The 20,160-nt window shown below is 40.3% G+C and overlaps 1 protein-coding gene and 1 pseudogene across 17 annotated transcripts in view; one reads left to right on the top strand and one right to left on the bottom strand.

Moving 5' to 3' along the window:
* NCKAP5 (NCK associated protein 5) overlaps nt 1-20,160 on the top strand; it is a 1,003,049-nt gene that overhangs the window by 330,027 nt on the left and 652,862 nt on the right. For 2 of the 17 annotated variants that reach the window (XM_047444128.1, XM_011511102.3), the window contains exon 2: nt 7,465-7,604. The exons of the other annotated variants lie outside the window; for them this stretch is intronic. The gene's annotated coding sequence lies outside the window, so the exon portion shown is untranslated. The remainder of the gene's footprint in view (nt 1-7,464; nt 7,605-20,160) is intronic. 17 annotated transcript variants of the gene reach the window in all.
* On the bottom strand, nt 10,880-10,981 carry RNU6-579P (RNA, U6 small nuclear 579, pseudogene; annotated as a pseudogene).

Below are 20,160 nucleotides of genomic sequence, written 5' to 3'. Positions count from 1 at the left end.
AAACTTTTGCCTTGGTCTTCCCCATTGCATCTAATGGTGGTATATATTATCAGCAAAAGCTAACTAAGAGTCTTTCTCGAGATTGCCTTTGACTCCTCAGTTACCCTCTTCACATCCAATCCATTGGTGACTTCAAGTAAGTCTACCTCACAAATGTATCCCAAATCTAAGCATTTCACATCACTTCTACTTCTACCACTCTGCGTCCAGCGATTTGCACTTCTTGCCTAGATGAATACAAACCACTCCTGACTGGTCATCCTGTTTTCCCTTTTGCAGAGAGTACCTTTGCTGCAGTGCAGTGCTTCCTCTGTGCTCGGTGCTGCCTTTGTGCTCACTCTTCTCCCCCACTATCTTCAACTCCCTGCCTCGCGTTTTTATTACCCTTTTTTTTTTTTTTTTGAGACAAAGTTTCACTTTGTCGCCCAGGCTGGAGTGCAGTGGTGCAATCTCAGCTCACTACAACTTCTGCCTCCCAGGTTCAAAAAATTCTCCCGCCTCAGCCTTCTGGGTAGCTGGAATTACAGGCACGCTACTACTGCCTAGCTAATTTTTGTATTTTTAGTAGAGACAGGGGTTTCACCATGTTGGTCAGGCTGGTCTCGAATGCCTGACCTCAAGCATTCCACCCACCTTGGCCTCCCAAAGTGCTGGGATTACAGGCATGAGCCGCTGTGACTGGCCATATTTTTATTACTTCTTTTCTCTTTATTCAGGTCTCTGTTCAAATGTCACTAATCAAAGAATGACTGACACCTGCCTAAAAGATCCACCATTCCCCGCAGTCTCTGGCCCCTTACCCAACTTTGCTTCTTCACATCACATTCAAGGGTGAGCTGGGGCTGGCTCATACTGCTCCAGAGAGTTAACTGTACACATCTCTTTCCAACTCCTCATCCGGTGACATCACATTGTTAGACTGAAATTGTCCAGGATGGGTGCACTTACACTATGGCAAAAGCTACAAATCACATCCTTCCGACTCCCAAGCTTGTTCAACATTTATACCACTGCTTATGGCGACGTGAATTCAGATTTAAACTTGTATGTTTGGGTCTGACTCCCACAGTAGAATTTAACCTCCGTGAGTACAGGGAACTTGGGATGTCCTTTACATATGATTACATCCTGTCTATGGCAGTATCTGGACATAGTTTGCATTCAATCAATATGTATTGGGTGGTAAATGGATGGTTGAATGGATGGATGGATGCATGGATGGATGAAATTCAGATTTTGATAGTCCCATCTCAGTTTTAGACATAAAAAATAAAATTTTTTGAAGAGTAGAATTTTTTTTTAATTTTTGCCCTTTTATATTTGCCTTATACTACTGGCCTCTGTGATAATCCTCTGCTCTGAGCACAGGTTTTATTCTTTTTTTTTTTAAACATGTGCAGATACATGTGTTTCTTTTTGTAGGTAATCTATTTGTCATTTTTTGCTACTAACATGTTTCTTACCTTCATGTATATGTGTATATTAAACCTATGAATTTTTTTTATATTCTTCAAGATAGCTATTAATCTGGAAACCCTGGGAAACATATGCAATGAATAGTATGCTGATACTACATCACATTGCATGATATGTTCAGTGACATAACATGATAAGTTTAATGTGCTGTCCCTTATGAGCACTGCCTAGCAGGATGCACTGTGCAAACTGTAACAAATGCAGTCATTAACACAGCATGTCCATCAGTGTACCACACAATCTGTGATGCATTGCCTTGGAGGATTTGTGTCTCTGATTTTCAATGAATAAGCCTTCACCTTTAGTATACCTTAGAAGGTGGGATCAAGCAAGTTGAGATCTGACGAGCCTGCAGCCCACTCTACACTACCTCCCATCTAGTTGTAGAAATCATCATTCACCTGTCCCTCACTGCTGTGACATGGAGAGATGTTGCACCATCCTGCAGGGATCATTCTGGTGTCCTCCTAGCCTGTCAAGTGTGGGCACTAATTAATCACAACACTGTGAAATCTGTCAAGAAGTCCCTTGTGTTTTCAGACATTGCAGCCACTTGAACAAAGAACACAGTGACCTCTGGGTGCTTTTGTCTCTGAGCACATTAGAGAACCCTTTTCCTAAAAGAGGATTACTTGGGAATGCAAGAGCTGAATGACTCCACCTTGCATATACACAGTGCAGATGGTGGCTGGAGGGGGTATTGTTAATTGGTAGGCACAAAGATGCTAGGGACTTTCCAAAGAACAAAATACCTCTGGAAAAAAAGCATACTAGTATAAGACCTGCTAAGGACAGCCATGCAAACTGCCCAGGCCTCTCTGACTCTGGCTCACACAGCCTACTCTGGATGGGATGAAGATGATTTGCATGAAAAGGAGGAGTTGGGAGTAGCCTTGTCTCCTGCTGCCTTCTAACTGACCAGAAGCTTATCCTATCCCTTTGTGTCCCTAAAGGCATCATTTGTCACAACATGGTCCGTGGGTCATCTGCATAAGATCATCTGCAATACTAGTTAAAATGCTGCTTCCTGGGTCCCATCCCAGACCTACTGCATCAAAATCTCAGTAAATCTTAGTTCCCTCCCCTCCCCCATTTCCTTTCCCTGAAGCCCTAAAGAATGTTTAGATCCCACTTTGGGAGGCCGAGGCGGGCGGATCACGAGGTCAGGAGATCGAGACCATCCTGGCTAACATGGTGAAACCCCATCTCTACTAAAAATACAAAAAAATTAGCTGGGCATGGTGGCGGGCACCTGTAGTCCCAGCTACTCTGGAGGCTGAAGCAGGAGAATGGCGTGAACCCGGGAGGCTGAGCTTGCAGTAAGTCGAGATCGCACCGCTGCACTCCAGCCTGGGTAACAGAGTGAGACTCCGTCTCAAAAAAAAAAGAATGTTTAGATCCTTTTTAAAATTCTATTCATTAGTCATGGCTTACAATTATTAGGTTGAACCTTATGAAATTGCTACTATGCAACCACAGTTAAGTGGCAAAAAATGGCAATTTAATGTGGTTCTATATAACTTTAAAGTCCAGGCTCTGTCCCAGGTGCTGGAAATGTAAAGACAGGAAAGATAGGAGTTGACAATGTGGGTGGAGAGATACGGGTACAAAGATGGATAATCTAGCATGGTTAAGTGTCATGGGTGCTGTGCTACTTTACTTAACAGCTGGCAAATTTGGGAGGACATTTGAACACCAGTATTATGAAATATGGATAACCTTAAATTATATAGATACATTCTCAGATAACAGATTGATAAGAGAACATATTTTGGTACTCACTGAGCTTGATATCAAGAAGAAATATGTACAGTAGAGTAATAATTTTCTGTGGTGTGGACCTGAAGATGGAGTGAATAAAATATCAAAATTACCTGAAGGTCTTCTTTGAATTATGTATTTCTCTTCCCAGTGGAGCATCCTATATTCCTCTAAGCAAGAGAGCCCACTCCACCTTATCCCCCTTAGAAACATTGCCTGAAGGAGTTCTTGTTAATGAGGGGAATTAGTCATGATCTTCAGGTGTGTGGGTACAAAAAAAAAAAAAAATCTGCTCACTTCCAGAATGACAAGTCAAAGATAGGTGCTGTGTCTGACCCAGTTGGTCATTTTTATGTTGCTATATTCTGACATATTTATAGCTGTATATATACTTTAATAAGTGTTTTTTTTTCCATGGGGTAAAAGAATGTGGTTGTAGGAGATAACAAGGAATCCATTTGATCTAATGGTCTTAGTGATTTCATTCACAGGTAAATAGAATTAATGGAATTGACAATGGTTAAAAAATGTCATAGGTAAATATTATAATCTGATTGAAAAGATGTATGAACAGCTAGAGTGGCTTGTATGAAGCAGGTGACTAGAATAGTACCTAAGTAAAACCATTTTTGCAGTGTTGCATGAGAAGTGTGGAAACAATATAACTTCTGAGGATGTGAGCTGGCTGCTGAGATGAGGAAGAAAACACAGGTGCAATAAGCATAAGAAACAGAATGCTTCAGTGATACAATGTCTTGTTTTCCAAATGTACTTTTAAGATTTATATTCATCTCTTCATTCAAAAAGAAATCACTGCTTACTCTTGTACTAGGGATTTTTGCCATCTCTGAACTCTTATTACCTTTATTATTTAATGCCACCCAAGTTAGGTGCATCAAGGATTATTGTTATAGGGCATTCATTACCTCATTCTTGGCTTGTCAACTTGTTTATAAGATCTTTACAGACAGATTGTGTATCTTACTCGTCTCCTCTTTCTTATGCATTGTCAGGGGGTATCCAGAGCCACTGTTGTAAGTCAAAATAATAGAATATTATGGCAATTACAGAGGATCCAACTTAAGGCAAAATGAAGTCTTAATAAATATTTGTGGAATGGAAAGAGAGGAGGAAGAAAAGAAGGCTAAGTCTTCCAATGTTTGAAATACCATGTGTTCTTTTGGTAAAACTTAGTCTGGCCAGAGGAAAGGACCTTTGAGGGGAGATTAGTTCTCTGCACATTCTTGAAGATGAGGAGACGAAGAGCTGCTTTTCATTACTAAAATGAGAGCTAGAATTTATTATCCTCAATTTCAACAAAAAGTCATTTACCTCCAAGCTACAAAAAAATTGCTAGTCAGCTCAAGGTAGTTGTGAATAACTTGCTACTGCTGTGATCTGATGTAATTCTTAAATGATTCCGTTTTGCCCCATGAAAAGCCATCCTTGATATGTATGGCAGCTAGTATAATTTTAAAAACATAATAATTTGCTGGCCAGGGATCATATATTTTGAGAACTCCAGTGAAGAGAGTGTCTGTAGGGCACAAGAGTGGAAGTTTGCTTTCTAACACCCGGAAGCTAAACCATGTGACTCTTAACAATGCCCATTGGATTTGCTTCTGAAACCATATATGTAAAACCAAAGACCGCACAAAGGTTTCTAGAATTATAGCTGATATCTACTGATGTTCTTTTAAATTGTTTTCCATAAAATGTATGGCCTACTTACAGGATGGGACAGAAAGGGCAGATACCAGTAAAAGGTAGTTTGAAAAGAAAGTGAGATTAGTATTTCAAATGACTAGCTATTCTTCCCCAAAGTTAACATGCATAGCATTTTATCAGTTGTTAATTGCAAACTGAAGAATCACCTTGTCAAAAGACAGCTATCTTTTCCATTCTGGCTCTAGATTTTCTTAATTATTTTTTCCCCATTGGTATCAAGGAGAAGGCCATCTGTCTTGGCAGAAATAAATTAATGGCTGCCATTGACCATATTACAATGCTTGGTTAAAATATGGCTACTCCATCTCTGTTCCTGGCAGCTTAGCCCACTTGTTCAATTAGGTCCCTTTCACACCCATAAAGATTCTCAAATGTCAAAAGTCATGGAATTATTTCATCTTTGAAAGACCTTCAAAGACCAGAGCAACCTATACACTTTATATGCTTTATTACAAATAGCCTGGGGCCATGGATTCACAGCCCAGGGGACCTGTTTCATAGAATTTTTTTTTTTCCCCAGTGACTTGGCCTTGTGTTCTTTTTAAAGATCAAAAGAGAAAAAGTTCCATAAACTTCTCATTATTTCTAGGAGATTCTTTCTTCTGACACATTTATTTTTTAAAAGGTACACAACTTCTCATTTCTCTCTATTGCTAAGAGACATAAGAAAGGAGAAACAAGGAAAATTGATAAATTCTCAATAATTTAGATTATATTAATTCTGTTGAAATTTCTTTGATTTTTCCCTGCACATAACTGATTATAAGGCAGGATCATAGAAATGGGAAAGTGACCTTGTATTTTATTTTTATTTTTATGTTTTTTGAGATGGAGTCTCACTCTGTCACATAGGCTGCAGTGCAGTGGCAAGATCTTGGCTCACTGCAGCCTCAACCTCCCAGGTTCAAGCAATTCTCCTGCCTCAGCCTCCCGAGTATCTGGGATTACAGGTGACCACCACCACGCCCAGATAATTTTTGTTTTTGTTTTTGTTTTTTTTGGAGAGATAGGGTTTCACCATGTTGCCCAGGCTGGTCTCAAACTTCTGACCTCAAGTGATCTGCCTGCCTCGACCTCCCAAAGTGCTAGGATTACAGGCGTCAGCCACCATGCCTGGCCATGGCCTTGTATTTTAAAGAAAGCATATATGTCATAGCACATTCTCTTGGAAAGAGAAAATAAATCTTTTCGGACTAAAACAGAAAACACTTGGTAGTTTTAGTCTTGATAACACCATATAACAGGCCTCCTGCCTTAGCAAATCAGCTATGCCTGTCTTCTTATGTACCAAAAAAGAACCTGATACTCATTGTATTATTTTTGCTGGAATGCTATGAGAAGAATTGATTAATGATGGTGCAATAGGATTTAATCTTTCAGAATGAAAGCTGCACTATAAGATGGGGGTGCATGATTCAGGTTCCTAGTATGTGAGTAAAGACCTTAGGCTCTGAATGCTTACTTACTACATTCTGTTACTAAGAATTAGAATGCAATGACAGAATCATTCGTGTACATTTAGAATTGGTATGTTTATATAGGAACTCTACATCTTTGAACATTTGTTGGGAGCCTTAGAGAATAGCATGTTGCTATTACTCTATAGATAGAATTTCACTCCACTGCTTCACAGCATTAAAAACCAAATGTCTGTGATGGTACTTGCTATATTTTTTCTTAACCAAATTATGAAATTCAAATATTTGATTTCAACAAAAAAAAAATGCAATAGACCCATATAATTCAGCTTATCCTTCAATCATGCTCTTTAAATATTCCAAGAATCTATTATTTGCTAATATTAAAATCTAGAGTTTTTGAATGTTTGATTCAAATGTTTGTACTTGAAGGAATAAAATGTTTAGATATCTGAGTATAGCCCATATTATATAGTGTTTATTAACTTTAGGGGCAAAATTGTTTAAACATATGCATCCCGTGCTACAGCATGAAATTCATCATAAGAATGGTCCATTCTATCCAAGGAAGTTGATTATTGGTATAATGAGCATATTTGTTTGCTAGGGCTGCCATAATAAAATACCACAGACTGAGTGGCTTAAAGAATAGAAATTCATTTTCTTACAATTCTGAAAGATAGAAGGTTGAGATCAACATGTAGGCAGGATTGGCTTCCTCTGCAACCCCTCTCCTTAGCTTCAGATGGCCACCTTCTTGCTGTGTGTTCACACAGTCATCTTTCTGTGCATCCACTTGTCTCTCTCTGGTAATGTCCTAATCTTTTCTTCTACAAGGATACCAGTCATATTGGATTAGGGCCCACCCTAACCACCCTATTTGAACATAATTACCTCTTTAAAGATCCTATCTCCAAATATAAGCCCATTCTAAAGTACTGGGGGTAATGTATGAACTTTACCCCATAATAATGAGGGAAATTCTTTCTATGTCAGTCTGATTAGAACTCATCCCTATAGCACAGACATTTAGCAGAGCATTAATGCAGCACACAAGCTTGGTACTTACTTCTTCTTTAAGCCTGCATCTCAAGTTGTCCTGAATCTGGAGCATAAAGGACATGAGAAATCTCAAGCTAACGAGGACTCCAAGGCCAGAAAAGTTTAGAGGAAGTTCAAGAAGTTCAGCTACACAATAGCAGCAGCTGGATTTAAACCCAGGTATGTTGAGTGTGAGTCCATGTACTATGTGAAAAATTAAAATTGTCCTACTGGCATATTAATAATTTGGGTTCTTTATGATGATAAAATGAAGAGTGGGGGATCAGAAAACAAATTGAAAAGAGGCCTGAGTTCTAGCTATGGCCACAGGAAGTCTGTTGATCTATGACCAAGCCCCTAAAGGATCTGACAATGTTTGTTGTTTGGTATTTATTATAAAAATGTCACTTATGTCTCTCTAAGAGACACCTAGGATCATGAGGGCAAAACAGGGTGACAGTATTTAACGAGTGCCCCTTCTGTTCCTGTGGCAGTGAGACCCGGTAGGGATATACCTCTGCCAAACAGAAGCCTGCTCCCTGTCACTTTTGGAGATGAAATCAACTTTATCAGCCACCCGTGTAGCCAGAAGAGAAACTCTTAACCTAAAGAGCATAACCCTTCATTTTACAAATGAGCTGTTTCAGACTCAGATAGGGAATGTATTCAAAATTTCCCATTTTCTTATTAGCGGAGCTGGAATTGAGACTACCATCTTGTTTTATTTTACCAAATTTGGTTCTTCCTTTCATTTCACCTCATAATTCCAGTAATATATATGAAAATATTGTTTGTTTTTGCTTCTAAATGCAACTTCAACCTGTGGTTTCCTGCATCTTCCTCTACAATTCATGATCACCTAAAAACCAAGTGAAGGCATTAACTTTCTTTTGAAACATTTACCAAGACATTTGTGCCAAAGGGCAAAATCATCATGAAGCTCGAGCCTTGTGCTGAAGTGTATTCACTTCAGCTGTTTGCACTTGGCCTGTTAAAGGAAAGGAAAAGCATGGCCTTGTGAACCTGCAGACTGGGATTGATTCCCAACTTAGCCGCTTACTTGGTGTGCGATCACAAATTAAATTCCTAGTCTGTTTGCTTCCTTATATGTAAGAGTAATAATAATAGTAATTACCTAGCCAGATAACCATAAGGAACAGAAAAAACATATATGTCAGGAGTTTAACACCAGGCACACTCAAGACAGTTGGTAAATGGTACCTGTCTTTCCTCTGCTTTTCTGTTGGGGCTGCAAGAAATAATGGCTATTTCGGTGGACAGAAGGTGTGATTTTCCACCCTCTGTCCTGATTGAAGGCCCACACCTCTTAATTCTTGGAACTTCAGATACTTGAGACTCTGTAAAATGAAAAACTTATCCTACCTAGTTCTGACAGATACAGTAATCAGCAGTGTGTTCTCAAGAGCAAGATGCCTTGAGAAACAACAAATACTATATAAAGTGTCAAATAGGAAGCCTGACTAGCCATTCATTTTGTTTATAAAATTTATGTCCCAATTTTCACACTCTGATTAGCATATAAAATCAATTTTTGGAACTGAACTAGAAAATAAAATATCAGTTCTAATTACTTCACTTAGCAAAGCAATTCTTAAAGATGGCAATAATTTTCATAACAGGCAATTGATTATCATAGTAATGTGAGCAGTGAATAATTATTTGAACTCAGCTTTTAATGGATCTTTTAATGGCAACATAGAATATGCAAAAGTAAAGATATGTATGTACAATCAATATATCATCAGGCAAAAATTTTTATTTAACTTTTTTGTGGTTCTTTAGTCTATACATTTTTTATAGAACAAGTGGCGGATTTAAAATCAAGGAATTTTACAGTGCAGGTAAAGTACATAAAGGATTAAGGGGATTAGTGTAATTGCTGACTTCTACCTCTCTCTGTACATGAATGGTAATATCCAAAATTTTCGCTTGCAATTATCCAACTAAAGGAAAGCAAAAGGTACACCCAGCCCAGCTAAAGCACCCAATTAATAGTCAAATAAGAATTACTAGCAATCTAATAATTCAGATTTGGCTTATATTTCTGTTGTCAAGTGTAGCAATTTGCTTGTTTGAAGCCAATTTTTTTGCTTTGATTAAGAGTGAGAGGGGTAAGAGACTATAACGCAGTGATTATGGCTCAGAAAGTAGATTGCCTTCATTTGTATCCCAATACCACTGAGACATTCCATGGATACCAGGAAGGGTTGGGCAGGTTATTTTACTGCTCCGTGTCTAGATTTGGGCACTTAAACAATGGGAATGACAACAAGCTTGCACCACTGGGCCGTGTGAAACTTAAGACATTTTATGCAAAACACTTAGCACAATGAATATCACACAATTAGTACTCAGCAAATGTGTGTCATTATTATAGGAGGTAGTGAATGACCTCAAGTAAATGGACCTGAGTTTGGCTTTCTATTCTTTTTGATTCACAGTAGAGACCCAGCTCAGCCACATGCTGTAAAGGAGCAAACCTGATCCTTCTTACCAAGATAAAAAAATCTAACATCAATCAGTTCACTGTTTTCTGCACTGCAGCAGTGTGAGGGGCACCCTAATTCAGGAATTTTGCTAATTATTTTCTGGCAAGGCATCTGCTGCTCCACATGCTTCATTACTGCGATTCCACCGTTAAAACGGGCAGCAGCCTCCTTCAAGGGGGTAGTTATCACTGGAGAACAGCTTGATAACCAAGCCCAATCTACATATACTCAATAAAAGGAAATTCTTTTTATATGCATATACGGAGAAATGGTCAAAGGTAGTGCTGAGGGACAGAAGGAGCATGAACTTGGGAGCTGGACAGTCGTGGTCTTGAATCTCCACTTTGCCAATGGCCACCTATGAAATGTCAGACAACATATTCAACTCTCGTGATCAATAGCTTTTAAAATCTGGGTGATAATATCTATTTGCTGGGAAGTTTCAATTAAATAAGATGATGAACATAAAAGTGCCCGAGCTAGCATCTGTCGCATGGCATGCCCTCCATGACAGATACTTTACCACCACCGTGAGCACTTCCAATTCAGCTTTCAAAAGAAATGTCTAATACGACAGTGCCAGCTTTATATGTATTCATTCACGTGATCCTCTGAAAAGCCCTATGAAACAGGAATCATTATTATCCCCATTTTACAGGTGAGAAACCTGAGACACAAAGTGACTGAGAGACTTGGTCTAGGTCAAACGACCATTAAGTCACAGAGCCAGGCTTTGAATCCAAGCAAGATGGCTCCAGTGTCCACACACATAACCATTGAAATAAACCATCTCTCAACGGATCACTAACGGCCTTCTTCTCTTGCCTTTTCTTCTGATAGCAAATTGAGTCCCTCCTATAGCCCTTATCACAGCGCCTTCTACTCAATCTGCGTATGCACATAGGAGGTTGCAAAGTCCTCCCTTGTGTCTTTAATTTTTTTCCCTTCTATATGGAGTGCTTCACAAACTTGGGTGTCATCCTTGCACAGGGCCATCCGAATCTTCTCTGTAGCATTCCAGTTTGTACTGTTGAAACAAGCACCTTCCTTGTGTGTTAATCACTTTCATTTCCACACAACACCCAGTGCAGTCCCTCACTGTGTAGGGGAGCAAAATCAATATGATATAAAAATGTTGGCAAAGGAGATTTGAGAAGTTTTCTCTTGCATGGTGTTCAGCAATGCAGTCTGATTGGCTCTAAGGACTTATATATGATTATGGAAAATGTTGAAAGTAAGTAGGAAGATGCTAGATTGTCACCACTCTCAATTCTACTAGTAATTCAGTGGTGGCTGACAAGGTGACAGAGTGTGGCTAATGTGGATAGTAGCTGTAGAAAGGTAGGACCGTTGAGTCTTTCTGTGTGACTTCACTTCCACACTCTATTTGTTGAGCTCGTCAAGGCCATGGCTTTTCCTCGTCGTGGAAGAAAGCAGAGAGCATTAACATTCATTGCTAATGCATTAAAGGCCCCAAGCCAGGCTTCAAACCCAGCCCCCAGTGACTCCGTAGCCTTTCCTCTTCCGATGTATCATACCCTCTGCTGACTAATGACCTCTTCAGACTTCAGGACCTGGGATTTATCTAAAAAAGAGGGAGAAAAGTACCTAAACATTATCATCCCCTGCTTTTTTGCCTGGAGCAACTCTGAAAAGAATTAACTTCCAATCTCCTATGAAACTCTAGGAGCTGCTAGTCAGAGTAATAGAAAGTGCACTTCTGAACTAATTCTGGGAAGACTTAATTTGTGGAGGCTTTGTATTCATCCTGCCAGTAAACATTAAAGGAAAATTCAGAGCAAACAAGGGCACGTTTTAGATTCATAATTATTTCAAAAAAGAGCTGGCAAGGAGTCCCATTGCTGGGTAATCAAAGTTTCATTTCTTGAGACCAGAATTTTCCCTCCAGAGAGAACCTTTTGGAAAAATGGTTTCAAGCAGTATACCTCTACAGTGATGGATTTGCCCGTGAAGGGCTTAGTCCACAGCTCTGGTGTCTAACCCTGCATTGGGTATTGACATGCTGTCTCACTCTGAGCAAGTCATTTGACCTCCCACCTTGGGTCACCCATCTGTGAGGTGAAGGAAAGCTTCCAGACCTCCCCTAGAAGCAGAGCAAATAGCAGGGTAAAAGAAACACTTATTATTATTTTTTTTTCTGGAATACTAGAAGCCCAAGGTGTAAGGGTGAATATAAATTTGTTTACTTTATCATTAATCTCAGAATCCTTAAAAATTTTCTTTTCAAATACAGTGGACATTTTTTCTAAAACTTTCAAGTCTTAAGCACAAGTATACCAATAATTATATATATTGACTATATGATTATTGCCTCAGAATCATTATTCTAAAAACTCATTTTCTGTGTAAACAGGTAGATAGAAAATGCACCCCTGAGATAATTGGTTGCATAAAAAGACCTGAAAATTTTGTGGGGTTTTTTTGGCTGAAATTATTATATGCTCTTAAGTATTGGTTTTTGATTCTAAAAATGAGGTAGTGAACCTAATTCTGGTTAACTGGGTGCATTGGAGTGTTGGATTCTGGTTAATGGAGGCTTGCCGTATTTATTTAGAATGGAATCTTTCATTTGGTACATTGATGGTGTTTATAAGGCAGTTTTCTTTAGCTCACTGAAGAAAAAGGTGCATTTAAAAATGACTCAAGGGGAAATGTTATATTGGGCCCATTTTGTCAAGGCACTTGACTCTGAAGCTTAGAAAAACAATTGAGATGTCCTCATTAGATGTAAAGCTCCAAGGTACTATCTGAAGTCTCCCTGAGGGCACACTTTTTCTCATCACCCAGAATCTCCTTACTTGACAGTTCAGAGATGGTGGTGTTGGGGTCTACACACGTGTGACACACATGTGAGCTAAACATAGCTGCCTGGAAGAGGAAGAATTGTAATTCCTGACACTTGTGTAAATAGCATCTACTCCCACCAGCTGGAAACCCATCCAAGAAACAGCCTAACCTCCATGCCTGGGTCACTGTCCTCAAACCGAAGGACCAGGAAGATAAAGGCAAGATGCTATCTTTGCAGTCATTATTTGTCACTTTGTGTGTGGCAGTGCGTTGTGCTCCCTCCAGGGAGAAGTCGTAGTTACTGGAAGTCATTCTTGTCTGGCAGCTTTCCACACCTTTAATGGGCACCTCAGGTGACATCAACCTGTAGCCCAGCTGCTGTTGCTAAGGTTCAGCCACTTAAAACCGGTCCTGGGTTGGCTGTTTATGCCCTTAAGTGGAAAAGTAGTACCCAAGTCATCCCTGAGATTTAGAGAGGACACAATAATTGCTTTCCTTTCAATGGCAGGTGACTCATTTGCCACCATGGAGCAGAACACGTTGCTGCTCTCAGTCATAACGGGAACAACGGGAGAGGGACATGGGAGGAAACAGAAAATGTCAAAGAGCTCTGGGTTGAAAATTGCATTTTGCAGGTGCCATTAAGCTCTGTTGGGAGAGAAGATGAAAATGCTAATTGACAGATTTATTATGTTTTATTGTCTTTGAGTTGCTGAGTAAGTCATCAGATCATGTTGTTTAATCATTAATGTTAAACTTTAGAAGACTCCATCAATTGTTTGCTATTCATCTTCTACCCTCTCCACGAATCTATCTTTAACTATTAAAACCTGCCAACAAAAAAGGAGTATAAATATTTATATTTAGCCCAAGAACTGATAAAAGTCTTAATCAGCACAGCACAAGAATACTAATTATAGCCTAAAAAATTCTGTATCAGTCAACGACAATTAGGATATCTTTTATTCTTTTACCTAAAACTACACATACACTCACATACACACACACATACTTTTGCACACATATTTGCTCATTTTTTGATCTGTGAAATAAGAATAATAATAGCACATGGTACAGTGGGAGTGTGTGTGCATGTATGTCTGTGTATGTATTAAATGAGTTAATATGTGCTTAGAACATAGTATATGCTTAATACTTTCTTCTTTTTTTTAATACAGGGTCTCCCTCTGTAGCCCAGACTAGAGTACAGTGGCATAATCATAGCTCACTGCAAACTTAAATCCCGGGGCTGAAGCAATCCTCCTTCCTCAGCCTCCCAAGTAGGCTGAGAGTACAGGTGCACACGACCACAACTGGCTAATTTTTTTAATTTTAGTTTTTTGTACAGACAGGGTCTTGCTATGTTGCCCAGGCTGATCTTGAACTCCTGGCTTCAAGTGATCCTCCTGATTCAACCTCCCAAAGCCTTGGGTGATAGGCATGAGCCACTGTGCCTGGCCCTCAATATTTTTTAGCTGCTACTAATACCATATGATGCAGAAAGTTACATATCAAATAAAGTTATAATTAAGAGTTTTGCAAACTATTTTTTCTTTTTGTTAATAGATATTATATGCTTGCTACAACATGTATTTTTAAAAGGCAACACAAAACGTGTCCTTTTTTTAAATAAAAAAATTATTGATACATTTAATAAGAAAAAAAAAAAACAAAAACAATGTAAGCCAGGCATGGTGTATCATGTCTGTAAACCCAGCACTCTGGGAGGCTGAGGCAGGCAGATCACTTGAGCCCAGGGGATTGAGACCAGCCTGTGACACATGGTGAAACCCCATCTCTACAAAAAAAAAAAAAAAAAAAAATACAAAAAATAAAGTAGCTGGGTGTGGTGGTGCATGCCTGTAAACCCATATTCAGGAGGCTGAGCTGGAAGGATCACTTGAGCCTGGGATGTAGAGGCTGCATTGAGCCATGATTGCACCACTGCTCTCCAGCCTTGGTGACAGAGTGAGACCCTGTCTCAGAAAAAAAAAAAAAAAAAAAAAAAAAAAAAGGTCTTGCTTTCTTGGCCACATTCCCTCCAAAATCTGGAAAATAATGCTCAGTATTATACTCTTTATCTTTCATAGTGTCTTAGACGCTGGCCCCTCCGGTAAAAGGTTGTTCAGGGGTATATCTGGAGAGCCTTTAAAAAACTCAGATTCCTCACAAACCAGAAGAATCTCTCAGAATCCCTATTTTAAAAGATTCCACAGGTGAATTCATGAAGTTGAACAGAAGAGGGGTCTTGGGCAACCACTCCTTTTTCTCACCTTTGGGGTACAGTGTGTGTCTTCTTTAGCATTTTTTAAATTCTGGAGAATTCAGGAGTTACAAAAGGTACATAATCTGTCTTAGCATTGGATGTGATAAGTAAATTAATATACTTATTATTTCAATGTGTCATGATACAGATGTTCTCCCTTGTGTGTAACCTTAATTTTGACAATTCCAGTGGGCTTATATAGTCTGCTCATTTGCTAAGCCCATCCTCCCTTTCTGTTTCTTTCCAAACACCTTGCCCATCTTTCAATACCCCCCACTTTTGTCAGATTTATTCTCCTTTTCTCTTCCATAACACTTGGCTATTCTTTATGAAGACCAGTGGTGTCCTTGGTAGGTAGATTCTACCTGGCGCTCCCCTGTGTACATCTCTATATCATCTCTTTTTTTGCTAGGCCAACTGGAAACCTGTGAGATATTTAAGGCATGCTTGGTACTCCCTCTTCTTTTAGGTGCTTTCCCCAGCCCCTCCTCCCTTGCTCCCTGTCCACGTGGCTGTCCCCTGGTTGTCCCCTGCCCCCTCCACAGGCCTGTGGACTATGAGGTGGGAATAGCTAATAAGGTGAAAAAGGAAAGCAGACCCAGATCTGGATGGCTGCTGTCAGCGAAGCCTCCATCTCAGTATAGCCCAAGTGTACCACTCTCATGCCTCTTCAGCGAGGTGGAAAATGCAATTCCTCTTTCTGAAAGCTTAATAGAGAAGTATTAACGGCAAGCTATGTGGGTAAAGGAAACAGTTAAAGGAAACTCTAAACACCTCCTTAGAATGAATTCCTTTTTATTGCCTTTCTTTTTCTTTATAATAAAAGGCTCCTAGTAACTACAAGGTATTTCCACATAAAGAGTATTTTTTGTTCTAAGATTATGGACACCCTAGGGCAAACAAATTCTAATATTATGATTGCCGCAAGTTTTTCTTTCCATGAAAGTTCCCAGCATTTCATGACATTTCAGAACTGCTCATCTGAGGTTGAAATGCAAGTGTATTTTAAATTAAACATGAGGCACTGCAGCTAGTCTACCCTTTGAATAATATTTATATATTTTTTTCATTATATATATTTTTCATCAGTAATCTCACTGAATAGGTTAGGTGCTTTCACTCCTTGTTACCAACATATCATAATCGAGTTCACAGTGTCTGATTTTTCCCATGCTCCAATTACGTGTTCATTATCCAGTGCTCTTACATATTTAACACTTTGGCTCTCAAAGGATGTCAAGGACTGCCCAGGCAGTGGAGACTCCAGGAGCTCTACCTGGTGGCACCACAAGTCAGAAATTGTTAGTTACTTCCAGCCTACTTCTCCTTCTGCCTCTGTAGTTGAGTCTTCGGCTTTCCCCCCTAAAATGTATTAAGTTTTAAATCTCTTGATTCTTATAAGAGCTCAGTTACTCTGTTTAAAACAAAATAGATAAAAATCCCAGTCTATGTCAACTCTCTCTATATTCTGCTTCCTCTGTTGCTCCAAGCCTCAACCCTCTATTCTCCATCTGAAAATGACATAATGAGAGCAGATACGCAGCGAATTTGGGGGACTGAGAACAGGATTTGCAATTTGCAGCACTCCTATAAATCAACACGAAAAAATTACCATAGTCTGCTACCAGTGGGAGTCAGCACGTTGGGATGAAAAGAATACAGCTCTGGAGGCAGAGGAACATTTTTTCAAATCTTGGTTCTACCAATCGGGTAACTTGGGGCCCAACGTTGGTAGAGAGACAACAGGGTGATGATCATTAAGCTCTGAAGATGTGGAGAGTATTTGGTCTAGATCAACCTGGGCACTACTTGGGGCTCAATAATCTCTGCGGTGGGGGCTATCCTGGGCATTGTAGGATGCTTAGCAGCATCCCTGGCTCCTACCCACTAACAGCCAGTACCAGCCCCTCTCTCCCAGGTATGACAGACAACAGTGTCTCCTGGGATATGAAGTCATCCCCCACTGAGAAGCACTGGTCTATGCATTCACTTTTAGTCTTCACATGAGGAGCCCTGCAGGTATTAATGTCGCTACTGTCTTATAAAAAATCCAAGGCTAAGGAAGGAAAAATATTGAAGCAATTAACAAAGATCCTAAGAATTTTAGGCAACTATATTATTTACCAGTTTTTCAAAGATGTAGAAAACCTTAACAAATACTGTTTTCCTACATCCTAGATGGACAGGGTTATCATTTTTATTCCTTTCTTCCATTACTAACACTGTTCTTGCATTTTGTCAGTCCTCAAGAAAACTTATGTACTCAGACCAACCAGTTTATTAAGGCTACAACCTGCAGAACAACCAGGGCCAGGAATCTGCATTTTGTCTTCAAAACACTAACATTAAACAGCATTGCCACTGGGATGTGACTATTAACATATCTTTGCCTAGAATTGGGATTTGAATCCTTCCAAGGTCCTTTCTTACCTAACTGCATAGAGAGAAGGTAAAAAAACAATTCCAGATGCTGAAGACACAGCATTTGGTAGCAAGTCTTTGGAGGAACAAAAGGGAAAAAGAAACAGCCCTAGTGGAAGCTGTATTGTGCTTCCATCTGTTAAGCAACAAATTCAGGCAGGAGAAGAGCAGGCAGCTGAGAGCTCGGCCTAGAACTCTAAATTAGATTCCCAGTGTTTCCTCTGTTTGCCCATCCAGAAGAACCACCTGGGCTGGCTGTAAATACCAAAGTCCCTTTTCTGAAGATTCTGATTCAAAGGGTTTGAAGTTGTGCCCAGAAACAGGTATTTTGAAGAAGCTCCCCAACAGAACTTATGATCAGTACGGTTAGGAAACACTGAGGTCTACATTCCTGCTACTCAGAATGTGGTTCCCAGGCTGGCGGCAGCAGCAGCAGCAGCAGTTGCGAGTATGTTAGAAGCCGATTCTTGAACAGATTCTGATTCAGTTGGTCTGAAGTGGAATCTGAGATGCTGCATTTCCAGCAAGCACCCAGGAAATGCTGCTGTTTCTGGTAAATGCACTCTACTGTGAGCAGCCAGGATGCTGTTGAATTTACGCAGGAAGAGGTATCAAAGATGAGTCATCATTAAATCCTGCTCTGAGAGTGACGTCAAAGCTGTAACAGGTCATTAGAGATGGGGTAGAGGTCAGTGGAGATGGGAGCTATGGAATGATAGGAGTCTTTATATTAATAACCATAATGTCCAGAATTCCAGGTTTCTGCAAAGCATTTCAAATAAAGAGCTGGAAAATGTCTCCGAGGGAATGGAGGACTGTTCTCTGCTGTTACAGGACTCTTGCTGTGGCTGTCCCCAGTTTACCAGCTCTGTGACCAGCTTTGTTGTCTTTCTTTTTCTCTTTTTTTTTTTTTTTTTTTTTTGTTGAGACTGAGTCTTGCTCTGTCACCAGGCTGGAGTGCAGTAGTGGTGTGAACTCGGCTCACTGCAACCTCCAACTCCCTGGTTCATGTGATTCTCCTGCCTCAGCCTCCCAAGTAGCTGGGATTACAAGCATGTGCCACCATGCCCAGCTAATTTTTGTATTTTCAGTAGAGACAGGGTTTCACCGTGTTGGCCAGGATGGCCTCAATCTCCTGAGCTCGTGATCCGCCTGCCTCGGCCTCCCAAAGTGCTGGGATTACAGGCCTGAGCCACTGTGCCCGGCCTTATAGTTTTTCAATCAAGGATATCCTAAGGGGTTGCTGTTCCTCTGCCAGAAATGCTGAGCAGTTCATCCCTAAAGTGGCCCACTGTCCAGAACAAATTAAAGAAGAGAGCTGCATGATTCTAGTTACGTATTAACAAGAAGTGCTGAAAGACAGCATCATTATTGGCCCTCTAGTGACAGCCATTTGGGTAGTTTCAGCTTTACCAACTCCAGCACACACCATCAACAACTTCTTTTTGATGACATCCGGCAAAAATAAACATTGCAAGCATTTTTAAGAGGGGGGTCATATCCAAACACAATGTATGATGGGTCCAGGTGTCAGTGAGTACTCAAATGCTGAAGTTGGGAGGCCAAGGCTAGCAGAGATGCCATTCTCATGTTAGTCTCATTGGTTCTGATTAGGTCCAGTGCCCATCATTGAACCAGTTGACATCTCCAGGCAAATGTGGTGTGTTAACTAGCTTTCATTCAGGTCACAAACTCTACCCTGGGAGCAGATAGAGTGCACAGAGCTGCGGGGGAGTGATCCCCACAAGGAAGGGGGCTTGATGTACTCCAAAATAACAAATGTCCAGTGCCTGCACCCAACAATAACTGAGCAATTCAACACCCCTAAAACCAGTATATGGTTGGCTGTAGAAACTAGAGATGCAAGAGCTTAGGGAAGGCTAGGGTTGAAATAATTAAAATGAGTTGCAGTACATGGAAATCCCTCAGGAAACATCACAAAGTCCCTGTACTAAAAAGGAATGCCAATTTCTGTTAGAAGAGTACCTTATTCTCAGGTTTATGTAGGCACTTAGGGGAATACATAAATGCTATCTTCATAAGCTGGAGTCATCTAGTTTTCTTCTTCCTTTATGTTTGGATCCATCCTTCCCCAAAGGCCAGAGTACACACTTTGGAGACGCAAAATCCTGTTCAAATTTCTCTGGCTCTTTCCCTGTGTACAGTTGGGAAAGTGGCTTAACATGGTAAAGCTATGGTTCTGCATTCCAGTGCCTTCCTCCCTCCCAGGTAGATTGAATACGGCAGTGATGGAAGGAGACATCGTCCATTTTTTTCACAGTTATATCCAACGGCTCCTAGCACTACACATAACAGGTGCTCAGAAGAATTCGAGTGAATAATCAAATGAATACATTTTAAAAGTACTTGGCAGGCTGGGCGTGGTGGCTCTTGCCTGCAATCCCAGCACTTTAGGAGGTCAAGGCATGTGGATCACCTGAGGTCAGGACTTCGAGACCAGCCTGGTCAACATGGTGAAACTCCGTCTCTACTACAAATACAAAAATTATCTGGGTGCCTGTAATCCCAGATACTTGGGAGGCTGAGGCAAAAGAATCACTTGAACCCAGGCGGTGAAGGTTGCAGTGAGCCGAGATCGTGCCACTGCACTCCAGCCTGGGCGACAGAGCCAGGCTCCGTCTCAAAAAAGAAAAGAAAAAAAAAAGCACTTGGAATACAGTATGTGCTTTAGAATGTATATATATATTTTCTTAGTTACAACTGGTGCTCA

Source organism: Homo sapiens, chromosome 2 (assembly GCF_000001405.40).
Source record: "Homo sapiens chromosome 2, GRCh38.p14 Primary Assembly".
NCBI classification, from domain to species: Eukaryota; Metazoa; Chordata; class Mammalia; order Primates; family Hominidae; genus Homo; species Homo sapiens.
Note: the sequence above shows the minus strand (reverse complement) of the source record. Positions and strands in the feature narration are given on the sequence as shown.